Raw genomic sequence first — 24911 nt, forward strand, 5'->3', positions numbered from 1 at the left:
TCCGGGCCGCTTCTACGCCGGCGTTCCGCATGGGGCCAAGAGTAAACGCATTTATTTTATTTTAATTTTTAAACAACTTTTCGTGGATTTGGGATCTTGCTGTGTTGCTCAGGCTGGTCTTGAACTTCCGGTCTCCAGCGATCCTCCCATCTCGACTTCCCAAAGTGCTGGGATTACAGGTGGGAGCCATCGTGCCAGGCCAAGAGTACAAGCATTTATTGGCCCAAACTCAGCACCGGGCCCGGGACTAGGCATCACCCGGGCTGACAGATAGAGGGATGAGGGAAGACCTTGTTTCCATTAATTTCACAATCTTCTGCCCTCTCTGCACACATTGTTTAAAACAGCTGTAAAAATGCAGATTCCTCCATCCCACCCCACAGCTTCCAATTCGGACACTTCAGAGCAGGAGCTCAGAATTTGCACTTCGGCAGGAGCCCCACATGAGACAGGAGCGGCAGGTTTGCACCACCTGAGCAAATACTCACCTGCTCGCTGGACCGGCTGCCCCTGTACAGTGGGCGCAGGTGAAGCCAGAGCGGTGGCTGGAGCTCACCTGTGTCAGAATCCCCTAGCGGGTGCCCATTGTCTGTGTGCACGCTCCTGGGAGTTGGGATTCCGGAGTCGTGGAAAGGACAGAAAGCTGAATTTCATCCAGGGCCAGGTGATTTTGATGGGGTGGTCATGGCCGGAAAAGCTTCCTGGGGGTGAAGCGCTATTCTAGGACTGCAGTCGAATTTGAAACCTTGATAATTAGGCCCGCGAGAAAAATCACAGGAGACATGAGGATTCCAGGGTTTGGAATTCCAGCAGAAAGCACCCCCTGCCCCCGCCCCAGCTAACCGGATGCTCTCCTCTCCAACCTCCCTGAAGCCCCATAGAGGGTCACTGGGAAGGTGAAAAAAAGCCGTAAAGCTCACAGGCCTGCTCACAAAGCTGTGTCTGTTGTGTATCTGCCTTAGAAGTTGTTATTTACAGATCTGGAGTTTTCGCTGAGTTACTTTCATGTGTGAAGACACATACTCTTGGCCAGGCACGCCTGTAATCCCAGCACTTTGGGAGGCCGAGGCAGAAGGATCACTTGAGGCCAGGAGTTTGAGATCAGCCTAGGCAACATGCCAAGACCCCATCTCTATTAAAAAAAAATAAAAACAAAAGAGAAAAGACAGATATGCTCGAAGAGAAGAAATCAAAGGTCACTCTGGATGCTATGTGACCAAGGGCAAGTGACAACTCTGAACCCCTGTCTCTTTATCTTCAAAATGAAGTAGGAAGAGAAGGAGCCTGCAGTGTTCAGGGAGGAGGGGGAGCTGTGGGCCATCTGGCCCCTCCCACAGTAGAAGCTCCCTCAGGCAGCTGCAGACGTGTGTGCCAGACTGTCCGGGTTTTGACTGATGAGGGAATGTTTTCTTCACTGGCAAATATTTGTGTTCCAAAGCTGACGAGGGTTTGCGTCCTGATTTGTCCAGCCTATAAAAGAGCAAAGGAAAAGATGAGAAAGCTGAGGTTCAGAGAGGCTGCTGAGGGATGGGTAGGAGGGCTACCAGAGCCTGGCTGTCCACATCACAGAGCCTCGGCATCCTTATCTGTAAAATGGGGACAGGGCTGCTGTTAGCCTCACTGGGCTTTGGAAAGAACAGGATGGGAAAGTGTGCAGCTTTACAGATTGCAGAAGGGTGGTGTCCTGATGCCTCAAGCCTGAGTGTGTGAGAATCACTTGGTAGGCTTGTGTCTTCCCCTTCATGGCAGCACGATTCATAATAGTCAAAATGTGGAAACAGCCCAGTGGCCACCAACTGACGTCTGGACAAACAAAATGGTGCCTATTCATACGATGGAGTAGTATTTGGCTACAAATCATAATGAAGTCCTGGTACACACTACAACGTGGATGAACCTCAAAACCGTGATGCCAGTGGCGGCTCACACCAGTAATCCCAGCACTTTGGGAGGCTGAGGTGGGAGGATCACTTGAGCCCAGGAGTTCGAAACCAGCCTAGGCAACATAGTGAGAGACCATCTCTACATTAAAAAAACAAAAAAGGAGTGGGGGGTGGCACGGTGGCTCACGCTTGTAATCCCAGCACTTTGGAAGGCCGAGGCGGGAGGATCACGAGGTCAGGAGTTCAAGACCAGCCTGGCCAATATGGTGAAACCCTGCCTCTACTAAAAATGCAAAAATTAGCCAGGTGTGGTGGCACACACCTGTAGTCCTAGCTACTCGGGAGGCTGAGGCAGGAGAATCACCTGAACCTGGGAGGTAGAGGTTTCAGTGAGCCGAGATTGTGCCACTGCACTCCAGCCTGGGTGACAGAGCAAGACTCTGTCTCAAAAAAAAAAAAAAAAAAAAAAAAAATTAGCCCAGCACAGTGACACAGACACACACCTGTAGTCCCAGCTACTAAGGAGGCTGAGGTGAAAGGATTGCTTCAGCCCGGGAGGTGGAGGCTGCAGTGAACCATGATTGCACCACTGTACTCCAGCTTGGATGACAGAGCGAGACTCAGTCTCAAACAAAAAAAAAGTTATGCTAAGTGAAATAAGCCAGACACAAAAGTCCACATATTATATGGTTCCATTTCCATGAAATGTCCAAAATAGGTAGATCCATAGAAACAGAAAGTGAATTAGTGGTTGCCAGGGACTGGAGGAGGGGGAATGAGGAGTTAGGGGGTACAAGGTTTCTTTCTGGGGTGACAGAAATATTCTGGAATTAGATAGCGGTGATGATTGCACAAATCTGTAAATATACTAAAAACCACTGAATTGTACACTTTAAAAGGGGGAATTTTACAGTATGTGAATTATGCCTCAATAAAGCCATTTTATTTGTTTGTTTGTTTGTTAATTTTTGAGACAGGGTCTGTCACCCAGACTAGAATGCAGTGGTATAATCTCAGCTCACTGCAGCCTCTGCCTCCTAGGCTCAAATGATCCTCCCACCTCATCCTCCCAAGTAGCTGGGACTACAGGTGTGCCACCCCACCCAGCTAATTTTTGTATTTTTTGTTTTTGGTAGAGACAGGTTTTTGCCATGTTGCCCAGGCTGGTCTCAAACAACCCTTGGGCTCCAGCAATCCACCCACCTTGGCCTCCCAAAGTGCTGGGATTAGAGGCATGAACCACCACGCCCAACCTATAAAGCTGTTTTGAAAAATGCCCCTCTCTAAGCCCCAGGCTCAGACTTTCTGATTGACAAGTATGGGGTAGGCCCAGGTATACAGCACACTCAAGAAGCTCCCAAGAGGTTTTTATGATTGAGAATACCGGTGAAGTGATTTGCCCCAATCTGGTCCAGCTCTGAGCCACTCCCAGCACCCAGGTGAAGGCCAATCCTCCCACCTGGCCTCAGGGTGGGGGAACCAGAGTCAACAGACAGAAGGAAACCAAAGGGGAGGGGAAGAGGGCAGTGGTGGAGGTGGGGGTGCTGGACCTTCCAGCATCATTTTCTGTTCTGTAAAACGCCTCCCCTAGAAAGCTGGAATGATTCATCTGGAGATGAATTACGGTTGGAGACGTCAGTATGAACTCAAGTTTAGCTTAATGCAGGTGCCAGGGGATGCACACAGAAGTATTTTGTTTTGCATTTTATGTTTTATTTTAATTTACAATACTTACATGTATTTACTGGGTACAGTGATGTTTTGACACAGGTATACATTGTGGAACGGTCAAATCAGGTGAATTAACGTATCCATCAACTTAAATCCTTATTTTTATTTTTCTGTAGTAAGAATATTTAAAATATACTCTTTTAGCTATTTTGAATAGACAATACATGACTATTAACTGTAGTAACCATGATTTGCAATACATCTCCCGTCTTTTTTCTTTTTTTCTTTTTTTTTTTTTGAGACAGGATCTCACTGTTGCCCAGTCTGGAGGGCTGGAGTGCAGTGGCATGATCACGGCCCACTGTAGTCTTGACCTCCCAGGCTCAAGTGATCCTCCTGCTTCAGCCTCCTGAGTAGCTGGGACTACAATTCTGCACCACCATGCCTGGCCAATTTTTTTTTTTTTTTAGTAGAGATGAGGTTTCACTATGTTGCCTAGACTGGCCTCAAATTCCTGGGCTCAAGTGATCCTCTCACCTGGGCCTCCGAAAGTGCTGGGACTACAGTCATGAGCCATCGTGCCCGGCCAGATCTCCTGTCTAACTGAGACTTTGTACCCTTTGACCCCCATCTCCCTATTCCCCACTTCCCCTTCCTTCCCCTGCTACTATCTACTTCTATGAGTTCAGCTTTTTTAGATTCCACATATAAATGAGATCATGCAGTGTTATTTGTCTTTCTGTGCCTGGCTTATTTCAGTATGCCTACTGTCCTCTAGGTTCACCCATGTTGTCACAAATTACAGAATTTCCTCCTTTTTTAAGCCTGAACAGTATTCCATGGTGTATATATACCTACCTTTTTTTTTGAGACAGAGTTTCGCTCTTGTTGCCCAGGCTGGAGTGCAATGGTGTGATCTCGGTTCACTGCAACCTCCACTTCCCTGCTTCAAGTGATTCTCCTGCCTCAGCCTCCCAAGTAGCTGGGATTATAGGCGTGTGCCACCACGCCTGGCTAGTTTTTTTTTTTTTTTTGTATTTTTAGTAGAGACGGGTTTCACCATGTCAACCAGGCTAGTCTCAAACTCCTGACCTCAGGTGATCTACCTGTCTCGGCCTCCCAAAGTGCCGGGATTACAGGTGTGAGCCACCATGCCCAGCCTGTACCCCATTTTTAATCCATTCATCCGTTGATGGTCATTTAGGTTGATTTCATATCTTGACTATTGTGAATAGTGCTGCAATAAACATGGGAGTGGCTGGGTGCGGTGGCTCATGCCTGTAATCCCAGCACTTTGGAAGGCTGAGGCGGGTGGATCACTTGAGGTCAGGAGTTGGAGACCAGCCTGGCCAACATGGTGAAACCCCGTCTCTACTAAAAATACAAAATTAGCTGGGCATAATGGCCGGCACCTGTAATCCCACTTACTTAGGAGGCTGAGGCAGGAAAATCACTTGAACCTGGGAGGAGGAGGTTGCAGAGAGCCAAGATCGCACCACTGCATTCAGGCCTGGGAGACAGAGCAAGACTCCATCTCAAAAAAAAAAAAATATATATATATATATAATATAAATAAACTATTTTATTTTATTTATTGTGGGTGGTTTTTTTTGTTATTGTTTCTTTTTTGGTTTTGCTTTTTGAGATGGAGTCTCGCTCTGTCACCCAGACTGGGGCGCAGTGGTGTGATTCTAGCTCATTGCAGCCTCAGTCTCCTGGGCTCGAGTGATTCTCCTCCCTTGGCCTCCTGAGTAGCTGGGACTACAGGCATGCATCGCGACACCAGGCTAATTTTTGTATTTTGTGTAGAGATGGGGGTCTCACTATGTTGTCCAGGCTGGTCTTGAACTCCTGACTTCAAGCGATCCTCCCACCTTGGGCTCCCAAAATGCTGGGATTACAGGCAGGAGCCACCACACCCAGCCTTAAAACTATAACACCGTGAAGCTGTGAACCTATTTCAGGATAATCAGCCCTAGAGTATCTTTTGGTGACATTAGAATGTAGACAGGCCAAATGGTCCTCCAAAAATGAGACTTGGTCGTGCTATTTTAAAGCAGTCATCTTTCAGCAACGATGGGATGTGTTACCCAGCATGTGGGAAACAGTGCTTGCAAGGTGGCCCCTGAGACTGAGTGCCTGCAAGGGGACTGGGTCCTCTGTGGGCCACTCAAGCATGTGTCTGACTTTTGGGCTGGCAGCACTTGGGGCGAGGCCTGCCCCCCGATGCACCTGCACAGGTCATTGTGGGGCTGAGCACCTGTGGGCCACCTGCACAGAGGATGTTAATTCAACCCTTAATTCACCCTCTTACAGTGAGGAGACCAGCAGCCTAGGAAAATAACGAGTTACAGTGAAGACACGAGGAGATGGGGGAGAGTCTCCTCAAACTCCCAGCCCCATCTGCAGTAGAACCACCGGCCCCACGACCAGGCCTCCTCCTGGACCAAAGAAATCGGCACCTCTAGGGGCAGGGCCAGGGCAACAGAATTTTCCAGACTCCTCGGCCAAGGTTAGGCGCCACCACTGTGGCATAAAGTGAGCCCAGCCTGTCTCCTGGGGTCTCCTGTGGGGAGCTTAGGGGAAAGCAGTAGCTAGCAGCTGGCGGTGTCATCGCTGAGCTGAGGAGGGGCTAGAAACACAGCGACACAGCCAAAAAGACACACAGAATGGAAATCACCTCTTCGGGGGTAACTCTTCCTGCTCTGCCTCCTCTGAAACAAGCCAGGGATATGGCACAGAACAGGGCCCTGAGAATAGGAAAGGAGGACTTCCCACGCGGGGCCTCCCACCCCTGCGGCTCCTGCTGAGAGACTTGGGCATGCAGTCCACCTCGGTCTGCGAGGGGGCAACCACGTGACCTCCTGCAGGGCCGATTCCACCAGGTGCCCATGGCCCAGTGTTTCTGGCTAGCAGCAGTGGGTCTGATGGACTGGGCCCTCTACCACTTCACCTGTGGCTTATTTTGAACATCACCTTTTCCTGGAGCTGTTGCAAGGCTTAAAGGGACTGACGCAGGTAAAGTCCTCAGTGGTGTCTGGCGCAGCCTTGCTCAATAGACAGTGGCGTGTCCTCTAGGCAGCAGCAGGGCTTGTCTCTCAACAGTCCTGCCAGGCGTTCCTCTCCCGCTGAGTGCAGCATCCCACCAGGGCAGGGGCCAGTGGTGAAGCCAGAAAGATGGGTGGGGGCCAGCCTGAAGGGGCCTGCCCTTGCGAGCTACTTTGAAGAACTTGGACTTGATCCTGAAGGCAATGAGAAGCCCTTTAAGGCAAGCCATCTCATTATAGGAGACCCTGGGGTGACATGATAGAGCTGCATTTTATTTATTTGATTAATACTTTTGAGACAGGTTTCACTCTGCCACCCAGGCTGGAGTGTAGTGGTGCAATCACAGCTCACTGCAGCCTTGACCTCTTGGGCTCAAGTGATCCTCCTGCCTCAGCCTTCTGTGTAGCTGAGACCACAGGCATGTACCACCATACCCAGCCAATTTTTTGATTTTTTTTGTAGAGACAAGGTCTCATTTTGTTCCCCAGGCTGGTCTCAAACTCCTGGGCTCAAGGAATCCTCAGCCTCCCAAAGTGCTGGGATTATAGGTGTGAGCCACCACACCTAGCCTATTTTATTTTAGAGACCAGGTCTTTCTCCGTTCCCCAGGCTGGAATGCAGTGGCATAATAGCTCATGCAACCTTGAACTCCTGGGCTCAGCCCGTCCTCCTGCCTCAGCCTCCTAAAACAATGGGATTACAGGTGCACCACCATGACCAGCCTAGATATACACTTTAGAAGAGAATTTAGGGTGCATGAAGTCGAGGGTAGGATGCAGTATAGCAGCAGGAGACTCACCTGGAGGCAGGTGAGCCGAGCAGCCAAGGCACCAAGAGTGGGGTCTGTCTGAATCTAAAGCCCACGGACCATCTACACTCTGTCCGGAAGAGCCAGGCACAGGGAAGCTTCCAGATCCAACCCAGGTGGCCACAGGTATTTCCCCATCTACCTGTAGCTCTGCACAGCCTGGCAGCGTGTCCCACGCCTCCTTGGGGGACCGGCATGTTCCTGCCTGCAGCGCGCCGGCTCCTGGGTTTGGCCGGGGAGCCATCATGACAGCCCCGCCGCGCACATTACGGCTGGGCCAGGCGTTCTCAAATGGCTCCGACATGGTGTGAATACACTCTTGTGTCTTTTTGCCATCTGCTGCTGTCATTAAAAAATTACATTTCCATCTGTTTTCACACTTTTCTCCCTCCCAACCTCCCTTCCTGGAGGAATACAACATGAATCCCAAGTTTCAAGACCAGAACGTTCCCTCGCCTCTTGGAACCTGGGAACTTTCCCCTGACACACCAGGGTTAGGGTTAAGGGGCTTTGCCGGCAGCCGGTGCTGTTAATTTCCATCTATTTCCTCTTCATTTGCCATTTACTGTGGCCCCATGTTCCCCCAACACACACTTTGGGGGAGCCATTCACGAAGCTTTTTTATCGTTGGTTTTAATCAGTATGCTTGGCTTTGGCATTAAAAATAAATGAAAAATAAACTGCAGACATTAGGAACCATTCCCCCAGGACGTACTTAAAGAAGAACAGACAAAAAATAAGAATAGGGGAGTGACGTTTTGGGTTCAACATAAATCCTCACTCTGGATTTGCTCCAAAGAGGCACCCACCCCCACCCACAGAGCAACCCCAGCCTTTGATGAAGCGTCCGGTTCACTGAGAGCCCAACACTGCAGCAACCCTGTGGCAACGCGGATCAGCCTTGCTTTTCTACAGCACAGCTGGGCAAACATCGGCGCTGGTGCTAGCATTTCCGGTTCCTTGCGCGTGTTCATTCATGCCATCTTCTGCACATCCTGGTTACCATCTCCATTTGAAGATTAAGGAAACTGAGGCTCAGAGAGGCCAAGTGACTTGCTCGAGGCCATCGGCTGATAGGTGGAGTGCGGGAGCGTCACCTGAGGTTGGATCCCCAAACAGGATCCAAGTGGAAGTGGTTTATTCGGAATGCAGTCCCAGGAAGGGAGGTTGAGACCGGGAACTTGAGAAGGAGCTGGTTCAGGTTAGCGAGAAGGTTTCTATGGCCGGCAACCAGGGCTCAGTTCCACCGGGAACCTCTGGGCAGCTATGACGCCTCGCTCCTCAGTGTGGCCCGTGGACCATCGGCAAGAGCCAATCCCCCAGGAGCTGGTTGGAGATGCACAATCACAGACCCCAGCCCAGACCTCTGCCTTTGAACCAGATCTCCACCGAGAGCACGTGAAAGTGTGAGAAGAACAGTTCCTCTGACTTGCCCACCACACCAGAACTAAGGGGCAAGGAGGCAGGGGTATTTATCTATTGACCCCACCTGATATGGGGTGCAGGCTCTCGCAAGAGTCTAAGGTCCCTAGTACCCCTAGTTGGTCTTCAGGAGCCCCCACCCCTGCCACACCTATTCATGTACCAGAGAGAACCTTGGAAAGGAAGAGGATGCTTGCAGTGGGCTGCTGGCATCACAGCAATGGGTGGGCACCGGGCGCGTCCACTAGATAGGACCCCAGGTGGGCTGCTCCGGGGCCCTCCCTTTTACTATCCCAGCCCACATTCATGCATTTGCACAATTTCACACAATCCTCAGATTCCCATTGCATTGTCCCCATTCCCTAGAAGAGCAAACTGAGGCTCAGAGAGGTTGGCAGCCCACCTGATCAAGATGACTTCCATTTAGAAACTGCTCCATGCCAAACTCCACGTGGCGGTGGAAGGGCTACATGGATGATTTCACACAATCCTCATATGCTTCCATAAGGTAGGTAGTTACTATCCCCACTTTATAGGTGAAGAAAAGGCTCAGAGAGGTTGAGTGACTTTCTAGGATCACACAGCACAACGGGGAGCTGGCTGACACCAAAGCCCTCGCTCTTACCCATTCCCCGGTGCCAGGGCTGCAGTGGGTGCCCTTCCCCCAGCTCCCATGCTTTCCTGTGTGAGAGCTGGTGCGGAGCAGGCCCCCCTCCGCTGAGCCCCTCCCTTCCTAGGGGTGGCAGAGCTTATGGGAAGCATATGAGAGGCAGAGGAGCTGGGCAGTGGGTATGCTACAGGGTTGACGGCAGCGTGGGGGCAGCTGTCACCAGGAAGGGTCTCTCTGCCCTTACTCAGCAGACATCATCGTGGGGTAACACCTCCCAAATGCTGACCTCACTGAGGCCTCTGGCCACACCAGGCCCAAAGCTGGGGATTGCTACGCATGCCTTGGGCCCCAGTTCCTTTAGGAGATAAGGGAACTCAGCCCAGGCCCCTGAGAGAAAGCCACACCCAGAGTCCTGGGGCCTTGCAGCCTCTAGCTGGCCCTCCCACCTGTGTCCCCAGCTCAGAGTCCTCAGCCAGGTTGCTGTGGGCCCTAGAATCCCTAGGGGAAGCCGGTGACCAGCCACGGCAGACCGCTGAGGAGTATTCAGGGAGGCGTGAGGTTTCCTGCAACCCTGACACCCAGCGCCCCCTGGATTCAAGAGGAGGGCAGAGGGTCCAGCCTGGCTTCTAGGTGGACAGAAGGGGCTCTGAGAAGCCAGAAGGAAGGGGGCGACGATTTGCCTGGCCAATCAACAAGCACAAGAGAAGCAGATTCCTTGGGTGGTAAGACCACAGGCTCTGAGTTTGAATCCCACCTCTGCCACTTACTTACCTCGGATGACCTTGGGCAAATGATTTAACCTCTAGGTGCCTCCAGTCCCCCATCTGTAAAATGCGGGTAATAAGAGCACCGACCTGCGGGAGATTAGGTTATTGTTTCTGACTCACCTTTCCCTCTCTTTAGAAGAATTGTCTGCCCCCTCCTTGTGGCATGCAACTTCCCGGCTCACAGTGTTGGGCTTAGCCATGTGACTTGCTTGGCTGAGGGAATGTGGGCATGTGTCACAAGCAGAAGCTGCAAATGCATTGGCTCTGCCTGTGCTCTGTGCCTCTGCCACCCACTGAGTGAGTGAACATACTCTGGTTGGTTCCTAAAAGAGAGGACACTTGAAGGAAATCGGAGTTCAACTGCAGCTGATAAAGCCCAGCTCCTTGCAGCCAATCGGCAAGGCCACGGCCAACCCACAGACCCGTGAGTGAGGAATCAGTGCTCGCTGTTGTAAGCCACTGAGTTTGGGGGCGGGGGACAGGGGTTGTTACATAGCAACATCACAGCAAAAAGAAAACTGACTAAGACGCTATCTCTCAGGGTTTCCATGAGAATTATGTGAGTTAAAATATCTGTCAAGTGTTAAGTACAGTGCCTGGTACATAGCAGGCGATATGAATGCTAAATAAGGGCCGGGCACAGTGGTGCACACCTGTAATCCCAGAGCTGAGGCATGATAATTGCTTGAGCCCCAGAGTTCGATCATACTATTCACTTCAGCCTGGGTGACAGAGCAAGACCCTGTCTCTAAAAAACAAAACAAGGCCAGGTGCGGTGGCTCACAGCCGTAATCCCAGCACTTTGGGAGGCTGAGGTGGGCGGATCACCTGAGGTCGGGGGTTCGAGACCAACCTGACCAACATGGCAAAAACCCATCTCTACTTAAAATACAAAAATTAGGCTGGGCGCGGTGGCTCACGCCTGTAATCCCAGCACTTTGGGAGGCCGAGGCAGGCCGATCAAGAGGTCAGGAGATCGAGACCATCCTGGCTAACGCGGTGAAACCCCATCTCTACTAAAAATACAAAAAATTAGCCGGGCATAGTGGCGGGCGCCTGTAGTCCCAGTTACTCAGGAGGCTGAGGCAGGAGAATGGCGTGAACCCGGGAGGCAGAGCTTGCAGTGAGCTGAGATTGCGCGACTGCACTCCAGCCTGGGCGACAGAGTGAGAGTCCGTCTCAAAAAAAAAAAAAAAAAAAAAATTAGCCGGGCGCGGTGCTGGGGGCCTGTAATCCCAGCTACTTGGGAGGCTGAGGCATGAGAATAGCTTGAACCTGGAAGGCGGAGGTTGCAGTGAGCCGAGATGGCGCCATTGCACTCTAGCCTGGGCAGCAGGGAATGTGGCTCCGTCTCAAACAAACAAACACCACAAAACAAAAAAACAAAAACGAAATAAATATGGTAGTGCCTATGACAGAGGTGCTGGGAGTATACCGATGTGTGAGACTAAGTCACTACCTTTAGGAAATGTATTTATTAGAGACAGTGGCAGGGGTTCCCGGGGTGTTGGTGAGTTGATCAGCTTTAGGCTGTGAGCCCCAGTGACAAGGCACCTCTTCCTGTGATGTCCTGCACATCAGTGACTGCGAAACAACAGAAGGGCACCCCGCTCACAGGGGAGGGAGGGAACACGTGCTGTGGGAGCTGGAGGACAGCAAGGCTTTCTGCTGGCAGGACCTGGCACAGAGGGGCACCAGGCTTCCATGAAACTGGACCTTGCAGAGAGACTGGGGTTGGGAGCAAAGGCGTTCCAGGGAGAAGAAATGCCTGAACCGGGTGGCAGGTTGTAGTTTCCAAGTGGGGCCACAACATCTCCCATCCACATTTTCTTCTTCTTTCTTCTTCTTCTCTTTCTTCTTCCTCCTTCTCCTTCATCTTTTTCCTTCTTCTTCCTTCTCCTCCTCCTCCTCCTCCTCTCTCCTCCTCCTCCTCTTTTTTTAGAGACAGGGTCTTAATGCTCTGTCACTCAGGCTGGAGCGCAGCGGTGTGATCACAGGTCACTACAGCCTCCAACTGGTGGGTCTACACTACCACACCCAGTTTATTTTTATTTTTTATTTTTGTACCGACAGCATCTCACTACATTGCCCAGGCTGGTCTTGAACTCCTGGCCTAGAGTGATCCTCCTCCCTGGGCTTCCCAAAGCACTGGGATTATAGGCAGAAGCCACTGCACTCAGCCGGTGCTCTACTTACGCCTTTGACTTTGTTCCCGTCACGAGGTGGTGCCTATGTTCCCTCCTTTTTCATCTAGGAAGGCACGTGAGGACCGCAGAAGTGATGTGATGTGACTTCAGAGACTAGGTCATCACAGGCGATACAGCTTCCACCTGGTTTTCTGGAGATGCTCTTGCTTGGATGTCAGCTGCCATGCTGTGAGGAAGCCCAAGCCGCCCAGGGAGAGGTTCTCGTGGAGAAAAACAAGAGCCCAGAACCAACTTGGCAGCCACGTGGTAGGTGCTTGCCCTTGTGGGTGTGCCATCTTGGAAGTGGATCTTCTAGCCCCAGATGACATACATGTCTCAGCTGATGTCTCATGAAACAGACAAACTCTCTCTTCAGGCCCTGTCCAAATTGCAGATTTGTGGGCAAAATAGATGATTGTTGTTGCTTCACACTAAATATTTGTTATGCAGCAATGGTAACCAGAACGAGAGGCATGCACACAAGGAAAATCAAGGAGTTCAGCTTGATTGGAGTGGAGGCTGAGCAAGGCTGAGCCTTTGGCCTCTTAGGGAGTGTGGAGAGTTTTTGGAGGCTGCTAAGCAGGCAGTGGAGGGCTCAGAGATTGAGCAGGCAGCAGAGTGAAGGACAGAAGTAGAAGAGAAGGCAAGCACCAAGCATCAGCAGGCATGCCCTTTCCTTCCTTCTTTTCCTTCCCTTCCTTCCCTTCCTTCCTCCCTTCCTCCCTCCTTCCCTTTTTTTTTTTTTTTTTTGACCGAGTCTCACTCTGTCACCCCAGCTGGAGTGCGGTGGCGTGATCTCGGCTCACTGCAACCTCCACCTCTTGGGTACAAGTGATTCTCGTGTCTCAGCCTCCCGGGCAGCTAGAGATTACAGGCATGTGCCACCATGCCCTGCTAATTTTTGTATTTTTAGTAGAGACGGGGTTTCGCCATGTTGGCCAGGCTGCTCTCAAACTCCTGGTATCAAGTGATCTGCCTGCCTCGGCCTCCCAAAGTGCTGGGATTACAGGCAGGAGACACCACGCCTGGCCTAAAACCACCTTTAAATCAAGCCACTTATGTTACTGCTATAGTCTGAACGTTGGCGTCTTCCCTAAATTAACATATTGGAAACTAATCTCCTATGTGATAGGATTTTTTTTTTCTCTTTTCTTTTTTTCCTTGAGACAGGGTCTCACTATCACCCAGGCTGGAGTGCAGAGGTACAATCACAGCTCACTGCAGCCTCGACCTCCCAGGCTCAAGCAATCCCCCTGCCTCAGCCTCCTGAGTAGCTGGGACCACAGACATGCCATAATGCCCAGCTGATTTTTTTATTTTTTTTTTGTAGAGGTGGGGGTCTCACTATGTTGCCCAGGCTGGCCTCAACCTCCTGAGGTCAAGTGACCCTCCTGCCTCAGCCTCGCAAAGTGCTGGGTCTACAGGTGTGAGTTACTGTGCCCAACCCCAGTGTGATAGAATTAAGAGGTGAGGTCTTGGGGGAGTGATTAAGTCAGGAGGATGGAGAGGAAAGTGAGCTGCCTTGCCCCTTCCACCAGGCAAGGACATGGTATGAAGGTGCCCTCTTTTGAGGCAGAGAACAGGCCCTCACCAGACTCCAAATGTGCTGGCACCTTGATCTTGGACTTCTCACCTCCAAGACTGTTTTTACTGTTTGCCATACATTTTACTGTTTTCACCCAGCCTAAGGTATTTTTGTAGCAGCAGGAACAGACTAAGACAGTTACTCAGCCAAGGCAGTCCACTGTAGTAAGAGTCCATGTATATGAAGGGCGAGAACAGGATAGAGGAACCCATGGTCAGGGACCCAGGACAGCAATGACCTCTCCAAGGTCCCAGTGAAGCCCGTGGTCAGGGTCCCAGCGACGTCCTGTCTCGCTCAGGGAGGTGGTTTCATGGTGGACATGCACACACACCTGATTGAGCCACAGGTTGATGTTTGGCTGTACTTAATTGTCCAGGTAATACCTTAATACAGAAGTTTAAAAACTGGAGGCCGTGCTGTAGCTCATGCCTGTCATCCCAGCACTTTCGGAGGCTGAGGCGGGCAGATAGTTTGAGGTCTGGAGTTCAAAACCAGCCTGGCCAACATGGTGAAACTTCATCTCTACTAAAAATACAAAAATTAGCCGAGCATGGTGGTGGGGAGCGGGGGCGCACACCTGTAACCCAGCTACTTGGGAGGCTGAGACACGAGAATCGCTTGAACCCAGAAGGCAGAGGCTGTGGTGAGCTGAGATCGTGCCACTGCACTCCAGCCTGGGCGACAGAGTGAGACTCCATCTCAAAACAAACAAACAAACACACTGGGGGCAGATGCGGCAGTGGCTTAGCAGCTTAGACGCCAGTGCCAGGCTGCTATTCCCATTTCCCAGGATGTGGGCTGGTTCCTCCAAGGATGAGAAAGAAAACATGTGAAACTCTAAGGAGGACGGGCTGAGGGGGACAGCGGGCAGAACCCCCCAAGTGGGTGTAATGCCATCACATCATTTCAGCTGCGTCTCGGCACACAGATGTTCACGGGGGCTGGAAGCAGGACTGGCCATATCACATTTGCAGAGCCCCTTGCACAGCCATGATTGAGAATTTCCTTTTTTTTTTTTTTTTTTTTTTTTGAGATGGAATCTCGCTCTGTCCCCCAGGCTGGAGTGCAGTGGCGTGTGATCTCCGCTCACTGCAAGCTTTGCCTCCCGGGTTCACTCCATTCTCCTGCCTCAGCCTCCCAAGTAGCTGGGACTACAGGTACCCACCACCATGCTGGCTAATTTTTTCTTGTATTTTTAGTAGAGACAGGGTTTCACTGTGTTAGCCAGGATGGTCTCGACCTCATGATCCGCCCGCCTCAGCCTCCTAAAGTGCTGGGATTACAGGCGTGAGCCACTGCGCCCAGCCTTCTTTTTTGTTTTGAGATAGAATCTCACTCTGTGGCCCAGGCTGGAGTGCAACAGCACCATTGTAGTTCAGTATAGCCTCAACATCCCGGGCTCAAGTGAACCTCCTACCCTGGCCTCCCTAGTAGCTGGGACTACAGGTGTGCACCTGGCTAATTTTTAAAAATTCTTAGTAGAAATGGGGCTCTATGTTGCCCAGGCTGGTCTCAAACTTCTGCGCTCAAGTGATCCACCCACCCTGGCCTCCCAAAGCCCTGGGATTACAGGGATGGGCCATCATGCTGGACCCTGATTGAGAATTTCAAGGTGCGACAGCAGAGTGTTGAACCCAGCGTGGGCCTTCTGAGACGGGCCCTGTGGCAGTGTGCAGGACAAATCCAGAGAGCTGGCCCTGGCCTTGGGGCCCACCGTATCCCTGGGACTCAGAGCCTGGTGTGTGCCCACACGGCCTCTGCGAGCACTGCTGTCCGTGGGTGGACAGGCTGGGAATCCTGGGTGGTTCTGGAAGCTGCTCTTGGCCAGCAATGAGTGGGAGTGGGAGGGTGCAGACCCCACATCTAACCCCTCAAGGACCCCTCACTGAAGGGATCCACACTGCCTCCCCAGAGGCCCCATGGCACCTTATAAGCTCCTTCCTGCGCTGCCTGGCCTCTCGTGCAGTGAAGGATCAGCCATGCCCAGAGACAGGCCTGGCCTTTCCCTCCTCAACTCTAGCCCTTTCAGTGTCCTGCCTGATGAGACTGTCTTTGTTTGCTGAGGTCTTGGGCTACACAGGATCGTCTAGGCTAATCATGGAATTTATGGTGGGGCCTTAGGCTACCTGGTGTCAGCTGACCTTTGGAGGGGCTGGAGACTAAGGTCAGCCATGTGGTATCTGCCACACCCATGTGGCCAAGCCCCAGCGAAGACTCTCGACACTGAGGTTCGGGGCGTCCCTGGTTGGCAATGCTTGGCGCATGTTGTCGCACATCATGGTCAAGAGAAGTTAGCACTTTCCCACTCTCCCCAACTCTGTTGTGAGAGGACGGCTGGGAGCCTGTGCCTGACCTCTCCTGGATTCTCCTGCCCTCTGCTGATTTTAACCTGTATCTGCTTGCCATAATAAGCCATCACCATGACGTTCTTCTGGTGGATGATTAGACCTGAGGGTGGTCTTGGGGACCCTGGAAGTGCCCTTCCCCACTCCGCTACCTTTGTGTCCTGGAGCCACCTCCAAATCCACCCCTCGCACCCAAAGCCTTGGCTCAGGCTTTGCTCTAGGGATCCTGAGACACAAGGAAAACCAAACTCAAGAGACACCACAGAAAATGAACACACACTGCCGGGCGTGGTGGCTCACACCTGTAATCCCAGCACTTTGGGAGGCCGAGGTGGGAGGATCACCTGAGGTCAGGAGTTCAAGACCAGCCTGATCAACATGGACAAACCCCGTCTCTATTAAAAATACACAATTATCCGGGAGTGGTGGCGCATGCCTGTAATCCCAGCTATTCGGGAGGCTGAGACAGGAGAATCACGTGAGTCCAGGAGGTGGAGGTTGCAGTGAACCAAGATCGCGCCATTGCATTCCAGCCTGGGCAACAAGAGCTAAACTCTGTCTCAAAAAAGAAAAAAAAAAAAAAAAAAAAAAAAAAAAAAGGCTGAGCACGGTGGCTCACGCCTGAAATCCCAGCACTTTGGGAGGCCAAGGCAGGCAGATCACCTGAGGTCAGGAGTTCGAGACCAGCCTGACCAACATGGAGAAACCCAGTCTCTACTAAAAATACAAAATTAGCTGGGTGTGGTGGCACATGCCTGTAATCCTAGCTACTTGGGAGGCTGAAGCAGGAGAATCGCTTGAACCCGGGAGGCGGAGGTTGAAGTGAGCCAAAATCGCACCGTTGCATTCCAGCCTGGGCAACAAGAGCGAAACTCTGTCTCAAAGAAAAAAAAAAAAGAGAGAGAAAATACACACCACACACACACATACACACACCCACACACACACACCACACATACACACACACATAGGCATATCCACATATGACCACACACACCACATGCACACATACATACCACACATGCACACACCTGCACATACATGCACACACCCACTCATGCACGTACACACTACACACGCATACACACTACACGTGCATCCACACCAGTATCAGAGTGCTCTATGGGAAGATAGGGACACTGGCTATGTATTTATTTGGATTGATTGAGATAGGGTCTCACTGTGTTGGCCAGGCTGGTCTTGAACTCCTGGCCTCAAGCTCCTCCTGCCTCAGCCTCCAAAGTGCTGGAATTACAAGAGTGAGCCACTGTGCCCGGCCCTGATGTGATGTAATTTAAAAAGCCAACACAACGTTGCCTCTCACCTTAGAGATGTATTATTACCAGGATCCTACAGCTGGGACTCAAACGAGGTCCACGTGACCGCAGAGCCCATGGCTGGGCCACGCTGAAGCCTAGACAGCAGACTGAAAATGGAGGGGCTCGAGACCCCCACAATGGCCTGCACACACCAGATTGGCTCTTCCATCTTAAGCGTCTCTCTTAAACCCACGCTTTACCTGGCATGATCCATCGCCTTCTCCTGACCCAAGAAGCAGGATTCACCATTTGTGGCCAGGCATGGTGGCTCACACCTGTAATCCCAGCACTTTGGGAGGCTGAGGCGGGTAGATCACTTGAGGTCAGGAGTTCGAGACTAGCCTGACCAACATGGTGAAACCCCATCTCTACTAAAAATACAAAAATTAGCCGGGTGCGGTGACTCATGCCTATAATCCCAGCTACTCAGGAGTCTGAGGCCGGAGAATTGCTTGAACCTGGGAGGCAACACTACAGTGAGCCAAGCCGAGATCATGCCATTGCACTCCAGCCTGGGAGACAAGAGTGAGACTCCATCTCAAAAAAAAAAAAAAAGGATTCACTATTTGTTACAGAGGATCTTTATTTATAATGCAAAAAAGAAATTATAAATCCCATTTTGGACTGTTTCCGTATCTGTAAAACAACTTATAAAAAACAGCCACTCCACCTGCAAGAAGTTCTTGTTGGTGCTTATGGCAGGGGCATGTGTTTGCACAGCCCTGGGGGCTGGGAGGGTGTGTTTGTCCAGAAGAGAGCCTCTCCCTGGGACCCCAACAGCCAGGACCATGGCGCTCCCTTTCACCAGGCCGGAGTCAGCAAGAACCTGGAGGTGTCAGAGGTCCGGTCCACTCAGCGGGGCCTGGGAAACACTGTTCTGGAAGTGGACAGGCTGGATTCCTCGCTGGTCCTGCCACGTCTCTCTGAGCGGAGGCCCGGGTTCGCTCAGTTCCCATCCAGGGTATTCAGCACACCTGCTCCAGGCAGCCACGCCCCCGGACACCTGAAGCCGGGCCGCTGGAGCAGGAGCCAGCCAGCCAAACCCAGGACACCTCCTCAGGCTTCTGGGTCGATTTCTCCATCATCTGGGCACGACCCTGTCTCATCCAGCCAGACTAGGAGAAAGAGGGGATGGACACCTGGATGCACCCTGCCCCCACCACACCAAGCCCCGTTTCCCTGGGAACTGCAGGGCTGGGGCCTCTGGGATTCCTTGCTTTCTGGTGCTGCCAGAGGCTGAGATGGGACCCAGCCCAGTGATGCTGGATCCTTCTGGGTGAATCGGACCCCGGAACTGCTTCAGTTTAAGAGGAACCCCTCCCAGCGTTCAGGAACCTCCCTGGGGCTCGGACTTTGTAGAGTAACCCTGTGTCTCCCCTATGCCCCCACTGGTCCTGGGAGCAGGGAAGGTGGTATGATCCCATTTTATAGGTGAGGACACAGGCTCAGAGAGGGAAGAGACTTTGACAGCCGAGCTAAGGACCTGCGCCTCTGTCCGCCCACACTGGGCTCTCTGATTAGACAGTACTGGGGTGCAGGAGGCGCACTGCAGCAGGAGCCCAGCTCTTCTCCCACCTTGCTGTGTGTCCCTGGGCGAGGCACTGTCCCTCTCTGGACCTGTTTGTTTCCCCATTTCTAAACTAGAGATAAGGGTTGGAATGAGAATTAAATGAGATTTGTGAAAAGCATTTAGCCTGGTGCCAGGCACTTGGAAAGGTCACAGAGGAATGCGCCCCATTGCACCCACCATGGCTCCACCCAGCACCTGCACTGGCCCAACCCAGAGGGGCCTGACAGCTTTCTCCCAGTCACTCGCTCTGCTGGGCAAGTGGAGACCCAAGCTCAGGACATCTGGAAGGGTCTATGGATTCCCCCTCCCAGACAGCCTTCCATGCACACTACACCAGCCTCATGGGTGCCTTGTCCCCTGCATGGGCCCAGCGAGACCCATGTCATGATGGCTGTCAGCTAACTGATGCCACTTGCGGGGAGGACATCCGGCCTGGGGGCCACGGGGTGAAGTGCAGATCACACAGCCTGGGGCTGCATGCCTGCGGCACCCGTGACTAGCACATGGCAAGTGTCTCAGCCTCTCTCAACCTTAGTTTACCCCTGTCTAAAATGGGGGTGTGGTGGCTCATGCCTGTAATCCCAGCACTTTGGGAGGCCCAGGTGGGCAGATCACCTGAGGTCAGGAGTTTGAGACCAGCCTGGCCAACACAACGAAACCCCATTTCTACTAAAATACAAAAATTAGCTGGGCGTGGTGGCAGGTGCCTGTAATCCCAGCTACTCAGGAGGCTGAGGCAGAACAATCACTTGAATGAAGGAGGTGGAGGTTGCAGTGAGCTGAGAGTGCACCACAGCACTCCAGCCTGGGTGACAAAGCAACACTCCATCTCAAAAAAATAAATAAATACAAATAATAAAATGGGGATGAAATCTGTACTTAACTCTGAACTCTGAGAATTCCTGTAAGAACTAAATAAGAAAATCCATTTGTTACGCTCAGTACAGTGCTACCTATCATGACCATCCCCAATGTTATTATTATTATTATTATTATTATTATTATTATTCATAGCAGCAGCCTCAGCACCCGGCATAGGCCCAGCTCAGTAAATCTCTGCTCAATGAATACATGAACAATTTGTCCCACCAGCTCCAGAGGTATCACAGAGAGGCAGGTAGGGCTGCCGATTTGGGCCTCTGTCTCCCACCTCCTCACCCTCTCCCTGGGAAGAACTCTATTTCCTCGCCGCTCCCAGCAGTGAGCTGCATCTGGAAGGCCCAGGGTCCGGCCCCAGCCTGGGCACGAGCTGTGTTTCCAAGTCTGTCCTGTCCGGCCAAACTGCAGCGGCCAACAAGATGGAGCAGCGGTCCTCCCGCTGGCAGGGGAAGGAGCATCCATCAATTACCTTGGCTGGCCGGAGCCGCGGCGTGGCGGGCCAGCCCGGCCCCATCCATCAAGCGTCCTGGCTGCTGGCAGGGGCTGTCTACTAATTACTTAACACGCCGCGTCGTGCTGAGGCTGGCGCCGTGGCAGGGGGCTCACGGTGCAGTGTACACAGGTCTGACCATAAATGTTTAACGAACCCAGTGGGAGGTGGGGACGCAAGCTAGGCCCCGTGGCCAGGAAGGACGCCCCTGAGAGCTGTCTCCACCGGGCCCCCACAGCCGACCCGGCTTGGCGGTGGAGGGGACGGCCTCACCTGTGCTCCCCAAGTCCCTCGGCAGCATCATGCCCGTGGGGGTGGGGGGCGTGATGATGATGTCGGGCACGTCCAGGTGCTTGTCGTTCAGGACGGGGGCCTCGTCGTGGCTGCTGCTGCTGCTGCTGACACACATTTGAAAGCCTGAGAAGCCAGGCGTGGAGCACACACGCACGTACACACGACAGAGAGACAGGCATCAGTGGCCGCCGGGAACCGCGGGCGCCACCCTCCCTTCACTATCACCTGGGTCCTGACGCCTCGCAGCAAGGAGCGCAGCTGTCCCCGCATCACAGATGAAAACCGGCGTCTCAGGAATGAAAAAGGAGCCCTTGTCACATCTCACAGAACCATGAGTCGGGAAACAGATTTTGGGAAATGCTGATCATAGGCTAGTTGGCCTCTGGGTCCAGTTGTCAGCCTTTACCATGTGGCCCAGCCAGCTGCAGCCTCATTCCCGGCCACCAGCCCCCACTCTCCACAGCGCTCCAGCCTCCACTCTCCAAAGTGCTCACACTTCCCCAGACTCCCTAGGCTCCTGGGGCCCCTTCGTGCCTTTGCATATGCTGCTCCCCCCGCCTGGGATGCTCTTTCTTCCTCTGCCTGAGTAACAAGCTCCTGCTTATCCTTCAAAGCCCAGTGCAACGGGCTCTTCCTTGGGAAAGGTGTCCCAGCAGATCTGGCTGCTCCCTCTTTTGCCCATCTGCACTCACTCATTCATCAATGAATGACATGATTTATTTTTACTTCTGCCTCTCTTTGCTGTGAACACCTGGAGGACAGTCTCTATTTCATTCATCTGTGTTTCCCTTGAGCCTAGCGCATGCTCGAGACAGAGTAAGTAGGAGTGCTTTAAATTTCAAATGCCAGCCGGGCGCGGTGGCTCATGCCTGTAATGCCAGCACTTTCGGAGGCCAAGGCGGGCAGATCACTTGAGGTCAGGAGTTCAAGACCAGCCTGGCCAACATGGTGAAACCCCCATCTCTACTAAAATACGAAAATTAGCCCGGTGTGGTGGCACACACCTGTAATCCCAGCTACTCAGGAGCTGAAGCAGGAGGAGAATCACTTAAACCCGGGAGGCAGAGGTTGAAGTAGGCTGAGATCACACCATTGCACTTCAGCCTAAATGACAGAGTAAGACTCCATCTTAAAAAAAAAAAAAAAAAGGCTGGGCGTGGTGGCTCATACCTGTAATCCCAGCACTTTGGAAGGCTGAAGTGGGCAGATCACCTAAGGTCAGGAGTTGGAGACCAGCCTGACCAACACGGAGAAACCCCGTCTCCACTGAAAATACAAAAAAAAAAAAATTAGCTGGGCATGGTGGTATGCGCCTGTAATCCCAGCTACTCGGGAGGCTGAGGCAGGAGAATTGCTTGAATCCGGGAGGCGGAGGTTGCAGTGAGCCAAGATTGTGCCATTGCACTCCAGCCTGGGCAACAAGAGTGAAACTCTGTCTCAAAAAAAAAAAAAAAAAAAAAAATTAAACGCAACCAAAAACCCTTCAGGCAGCATTAAGCTAGGTGTTACAATCCTTGTCTCTATGTCCCATCACTTTGGTTTTGCCCCAAACGGTGCCAGGCTGGGATTAAATTAGCTCAAGTATCAGAGCCCCTGACCAACAGGAGAAGCTGAGTAATAAGGGGTTGGGGGAATATTTTTCCTACTGTTCTCAGGCCTCCCTTGACCACCATTAGGACAATGTTCCTAAGTGACCACTGTAGGGTCAGTGTGGGGGTTCTGAAATATGGCTCTGAGAGGCAGAGTCTAAGCCCTTGAGTGTGGATGGACTTAGTGACTTGCTTCCAACAAATAGGACTGCCATGATGGTGTGTGACTTCCACGGTGAGGTCATAAAAGACATTGCAACTTCCTCCTTGCTCTCTCTTGGAACACTTGCTCTTGGGGAAGCCAGCCACCATGTTACGAGGATGCTCAAGCAGCCTGTGGAGCAGCTCACGTGGGTGAGGAATCAAGGCCTCTAGCCAACAGCCACAAGGGAGCCTCCTCAGCAGTGGAGCCTCCAGCCCCAGTCCAGCCATCAGATGAGACTGCAGCCCCGGCTGACATCTTGGATGTAACATCATGATCGACCCTGAGCCAGAACCACCCAGATAAGCCACTCCTCAATTCCTGACCCACAGAAACTCTGAGATAATAAAGGTTTGATGTTTAAGCCACAAAGTTTTGGCATAGTTTGTTATGCAGTGATAGATTACTGACAGTCAGCAAATCTTTCCCTGACCCAGTAGGAAGGGATGGCAGGTGCACAGTGGGAATCTCATACCCGGCTGTGGGGAAATCACAGGAGGCTTCTCAGGGTAACCTTTGTTCACCCAAGGGGTGTTCCTCTGAGAGGCAGGTTACACCTGGGCTGTCAGGGATGATCTGTTTGAATCCACAAAAGCATGTACACCTAGAGGACCTGGAGCCATGCCATTCAGGCCAAATTCTTGGTTCACCTGCAGCTTGACCAAGGCTGCAGGCTCAGAAAAACTGAAAGCAGTAGGCACACTGGCTTTGGAATCAGGCCACCAGCTGTGTGACCCTGCGTGCACTGCACCTCCTCTCTGGGCCCTTTGTGCAGTAAATAATTTAATCTTGCCTAAAAAGAGGTCTGGTCTCTGTCCGCGGTTTCTGAGAGGTGCTCTCTAAGCCCTTGGAATATCTTGCCTGATAGGAGAGTCTTTGTTTGCCGGGGGCTGTGGTTACACTGGGTGTCCAAAGGCGTGATTGATGGAGGGGGGCTCCGGGTCATGCCCGGAGAGACAGCAGCCTGCAGCCTGAGCTCCAAAGTGAGCAATCAATCAGCCTCCAGAGGAGCCCCAGTGCCTTCGTCTCCTGGGGTTGCCACAACAAAGCACCGTCAACCAGGCGGCTGGAACAATGGACATTCATTGTCTTATAGATCTGGAGGCCAGAAGTTCCAGATCCAGGTGTTGGCAAGGCTGGTTCCTCTGGAGGCTGCAAGGGAGACTGTTCCAAGCCCCTCCCCTGGCTTCTGGTGGTTGCTGACAATCTGGCGTTCCTAGGCTCGTAGAAGCCTCACCCCATCTCTACCTCTTGCCTTCACATTGTATTCTCCCTGCGTCTTGTCTCTGTCCAGACTCCCCCCTGCTTTTTTTTTGAGACGGATCTCACTCTGTCACCCAGGCTGCAGTGCAGTGGCACAATCTCAGCTCACTGCAACCTCTGCCTCTCGGGTTCAAACAAAATCTCCTGTCTCAGCCTCCCAAGTAGTTGGGATTACAGGCATGCGCCACCATGCCCAGCTAATTTTTGTATTTTTAGTAGAGACAGGGTCTCACCATGTTGGCCAGGCTGGTCTCAAACTCCTGACCTCAGGTGATCTGCCCACCTTGGCCTCCCAAAGTGCTGGGATCAGAGGCATGAGCCACAGCGCCCAGCCCAGATTTCCCCTTTTGATAAGGACACCCGTCATATTGGACTAGGAGCTCACACTACTAAAATGACCTCATCTTAACTCATTACACCTGCAAAGACACTACTCCCAAGAAGGTCACATTCTGAGGCCCTGGGGGCGAGGAGGTTGACTTATGAATTTTTGGAAGACACGGTTCAATCCTTAAAGCCCCTGGACACTGAAGCCAAGGGGCTTCCCTCCTGATGATGCTCTGTGCTGTCACGCACCATCGTCAGGAGGAGTTGGTGCTGTCCATGGCTCCACGAGGAGAGGACAGTGGGAGACTGTGCCTGGGACCCTCGTGGGATCTGCCCTGTGAGCGTCTTCCCTTTGGTCTTAACCTGGGTCCCTTCCCTGGAATGAGCCATAACCGGGAATCAGAGCCTCCAGTGACTTCTGTGAGTCCTTTCAGCAAATGAACAAACATGAGGGTGGTTTGGGGAAGCCCCAAACCTGCAGCTGGTGGTGGAAGGGTGGGTGGTCATGTGTGCCCCCGCCCCACTTCTGTTAGTCTAACTCTTTGCAGCCTTCTTGTTTTCACAGACAAGCGCAAGGTGGTAGTGGGGGAATCAGCCGACTCCCTGGGCTGGGGAGAGACGGCCACGGTCCCTGGGACACACGGCTGGTGTGA

General features: G+C 52.3%; 1 protein-coding gene and 1 long non-coding RNA gene across 5 annotated transcripts in view, besides 5 other annotated features; both read right to left on the reverse strand.

Moving 5' to 3' along the window:
* Window positions 36-3854, reverse strand: LOC124903740 (uncharacterized). Its single transcript, XR_007065160.1, has 2 exons — window positions 3619-3854; window positions 36-1470 (listed from the first exon to the last, which is right to left on the reverse strand). It is a non-coding gene; the product is annotated as an uncharacterized LOC124903740 (long non-coding RNA).
* Window positions 40-541: an enhancer, noted in NCBI's record as "H3K4me1 hESC enhancer chr16:85722953-85723454 (GRCh37/hg19 assembly coordinates)". NCBI's record gives its function as "activates a minimal SCP1, AML or CMV promoter by ChIP-STARR-seq in primed H9 embryonic stem cells {active_cell/tissue: H9 hESC(primed)}" and the evidence as "EXISTENCE:reporter gene assay evidence [ECO:0000049][PMID:30033119]".
* Window positions 6320-6892: an enhancer, noted in NCBI's record as "H3K27ac-H3K4me1 hESC enhancer chr16:85729233-85729805 (GRCh37/hg19 assembly coordinates)". NCBI's record gives its function as "activates a minimal SCP1, AML or CMV promoter by ChIP-STARR-seq in primed H9 embryonic stem cells {active_cell/tissue: H9 hESC(primed)}" and the evidence as "EXISTENCE:reporter gene assay evidence [ECO:0000049][PMID:30033119]".
* Window positions 12446-12661: a silencer, noted in NCBI's record as "fragment chr16:85735359-85735574 (GRCh37/hg19 assembly coordinates)". NCBI's record gives its function as "represses an EF-1alpha promoter that drives an FKBP-Casp9 reporter gene in an ReSE screen in phorbol 12-myristate 13-acetate-treated (for megakaryocytic differentiation) K562 erythroleukemia cells {active_cell/tissue: K562(+PMA)}" and the evidence as "EXISTENCE:reporter gene assay evidence [ECO:0000049][PMID:32094911]".
* Window positions 15908-16600: an enhancer, noted in NCBI's record as "H3K27ac-H3K4me1 hESC enhancer chr16:85738821-85739513 (GRCh37/hg19 assembly coordinates)". NCBI's record gives its function as "activates a minimal SCP1, AML or CMV promoter by ChIP-STARR-seq in naive H9 embryonic stem cells {active_cell/tissue: H9 hESC(naive)}" and the evidence as "EXISTENCE:reporter gene assay evidence [ECO:0000049][PMID:30033119]".
* The window catches only part of C16orf74 (chromosome 16 open reading frame 74), a 43580-nt gene continuing 36878 nt past the window's right edge, over window positions 18210-24911 (reverse strand). The window contains exons 3-5 of one of the 4 annotated variants that reach the window (NR_161452.1): window positions 21103-21166; window positions 20857-20978; window positions 18210-18759 (exon numbers count right to left, since the gene is read on the reverse strand). Coding sequence is in view for 1 of the 4 variants with exons in the window: in NM_206967.3 (NP_996850.1) it covers window positions 18701-18759; window positions 20857-21000 (203 nt within the window). In the remaining 3 variants the exon portion in view is untranslated. Of the gene's footprint in view, window positions 18760-20856; window positions 21001-21102; window positions 21167-24911 lie in introns of all 4 variants that reach the window. The other 3 variants (NR_161454.1, NM_206967.3, NR_161453.1) reach the window with 3 other exon arrangements.
* Window positions 20264-20833: an enhancer, noted in NCBI's record as "H3K27ac-H3K4me1 hESC enhancer chr16:85743177-85743746 (GRCh37/hg19 assembly coordinates)". NCBI's record gives its function as "activates a minimal SCP1, AML or CMV promoter by ChIP-STARR-seq in naive H9 embryonic stem cells {active_cell/tissue: H9 hESC(naive)}" and the evidence as "EXISTENCE:reporter gene assay evidence [ECO:0000049][PMID:30033119]".

The sequence above is a fragment of the Homo sapiens genome, chromosome 16 (assembly GCF_000001405.40).
Source record: "Homo sapiens chromosome 16, GRCh38.p14 Primary Assembly".
NCBI lineage: Eukaryota > Metazoa > Chordata > Mammalia > Primates > Hominidae > Homo > Homo sapiens.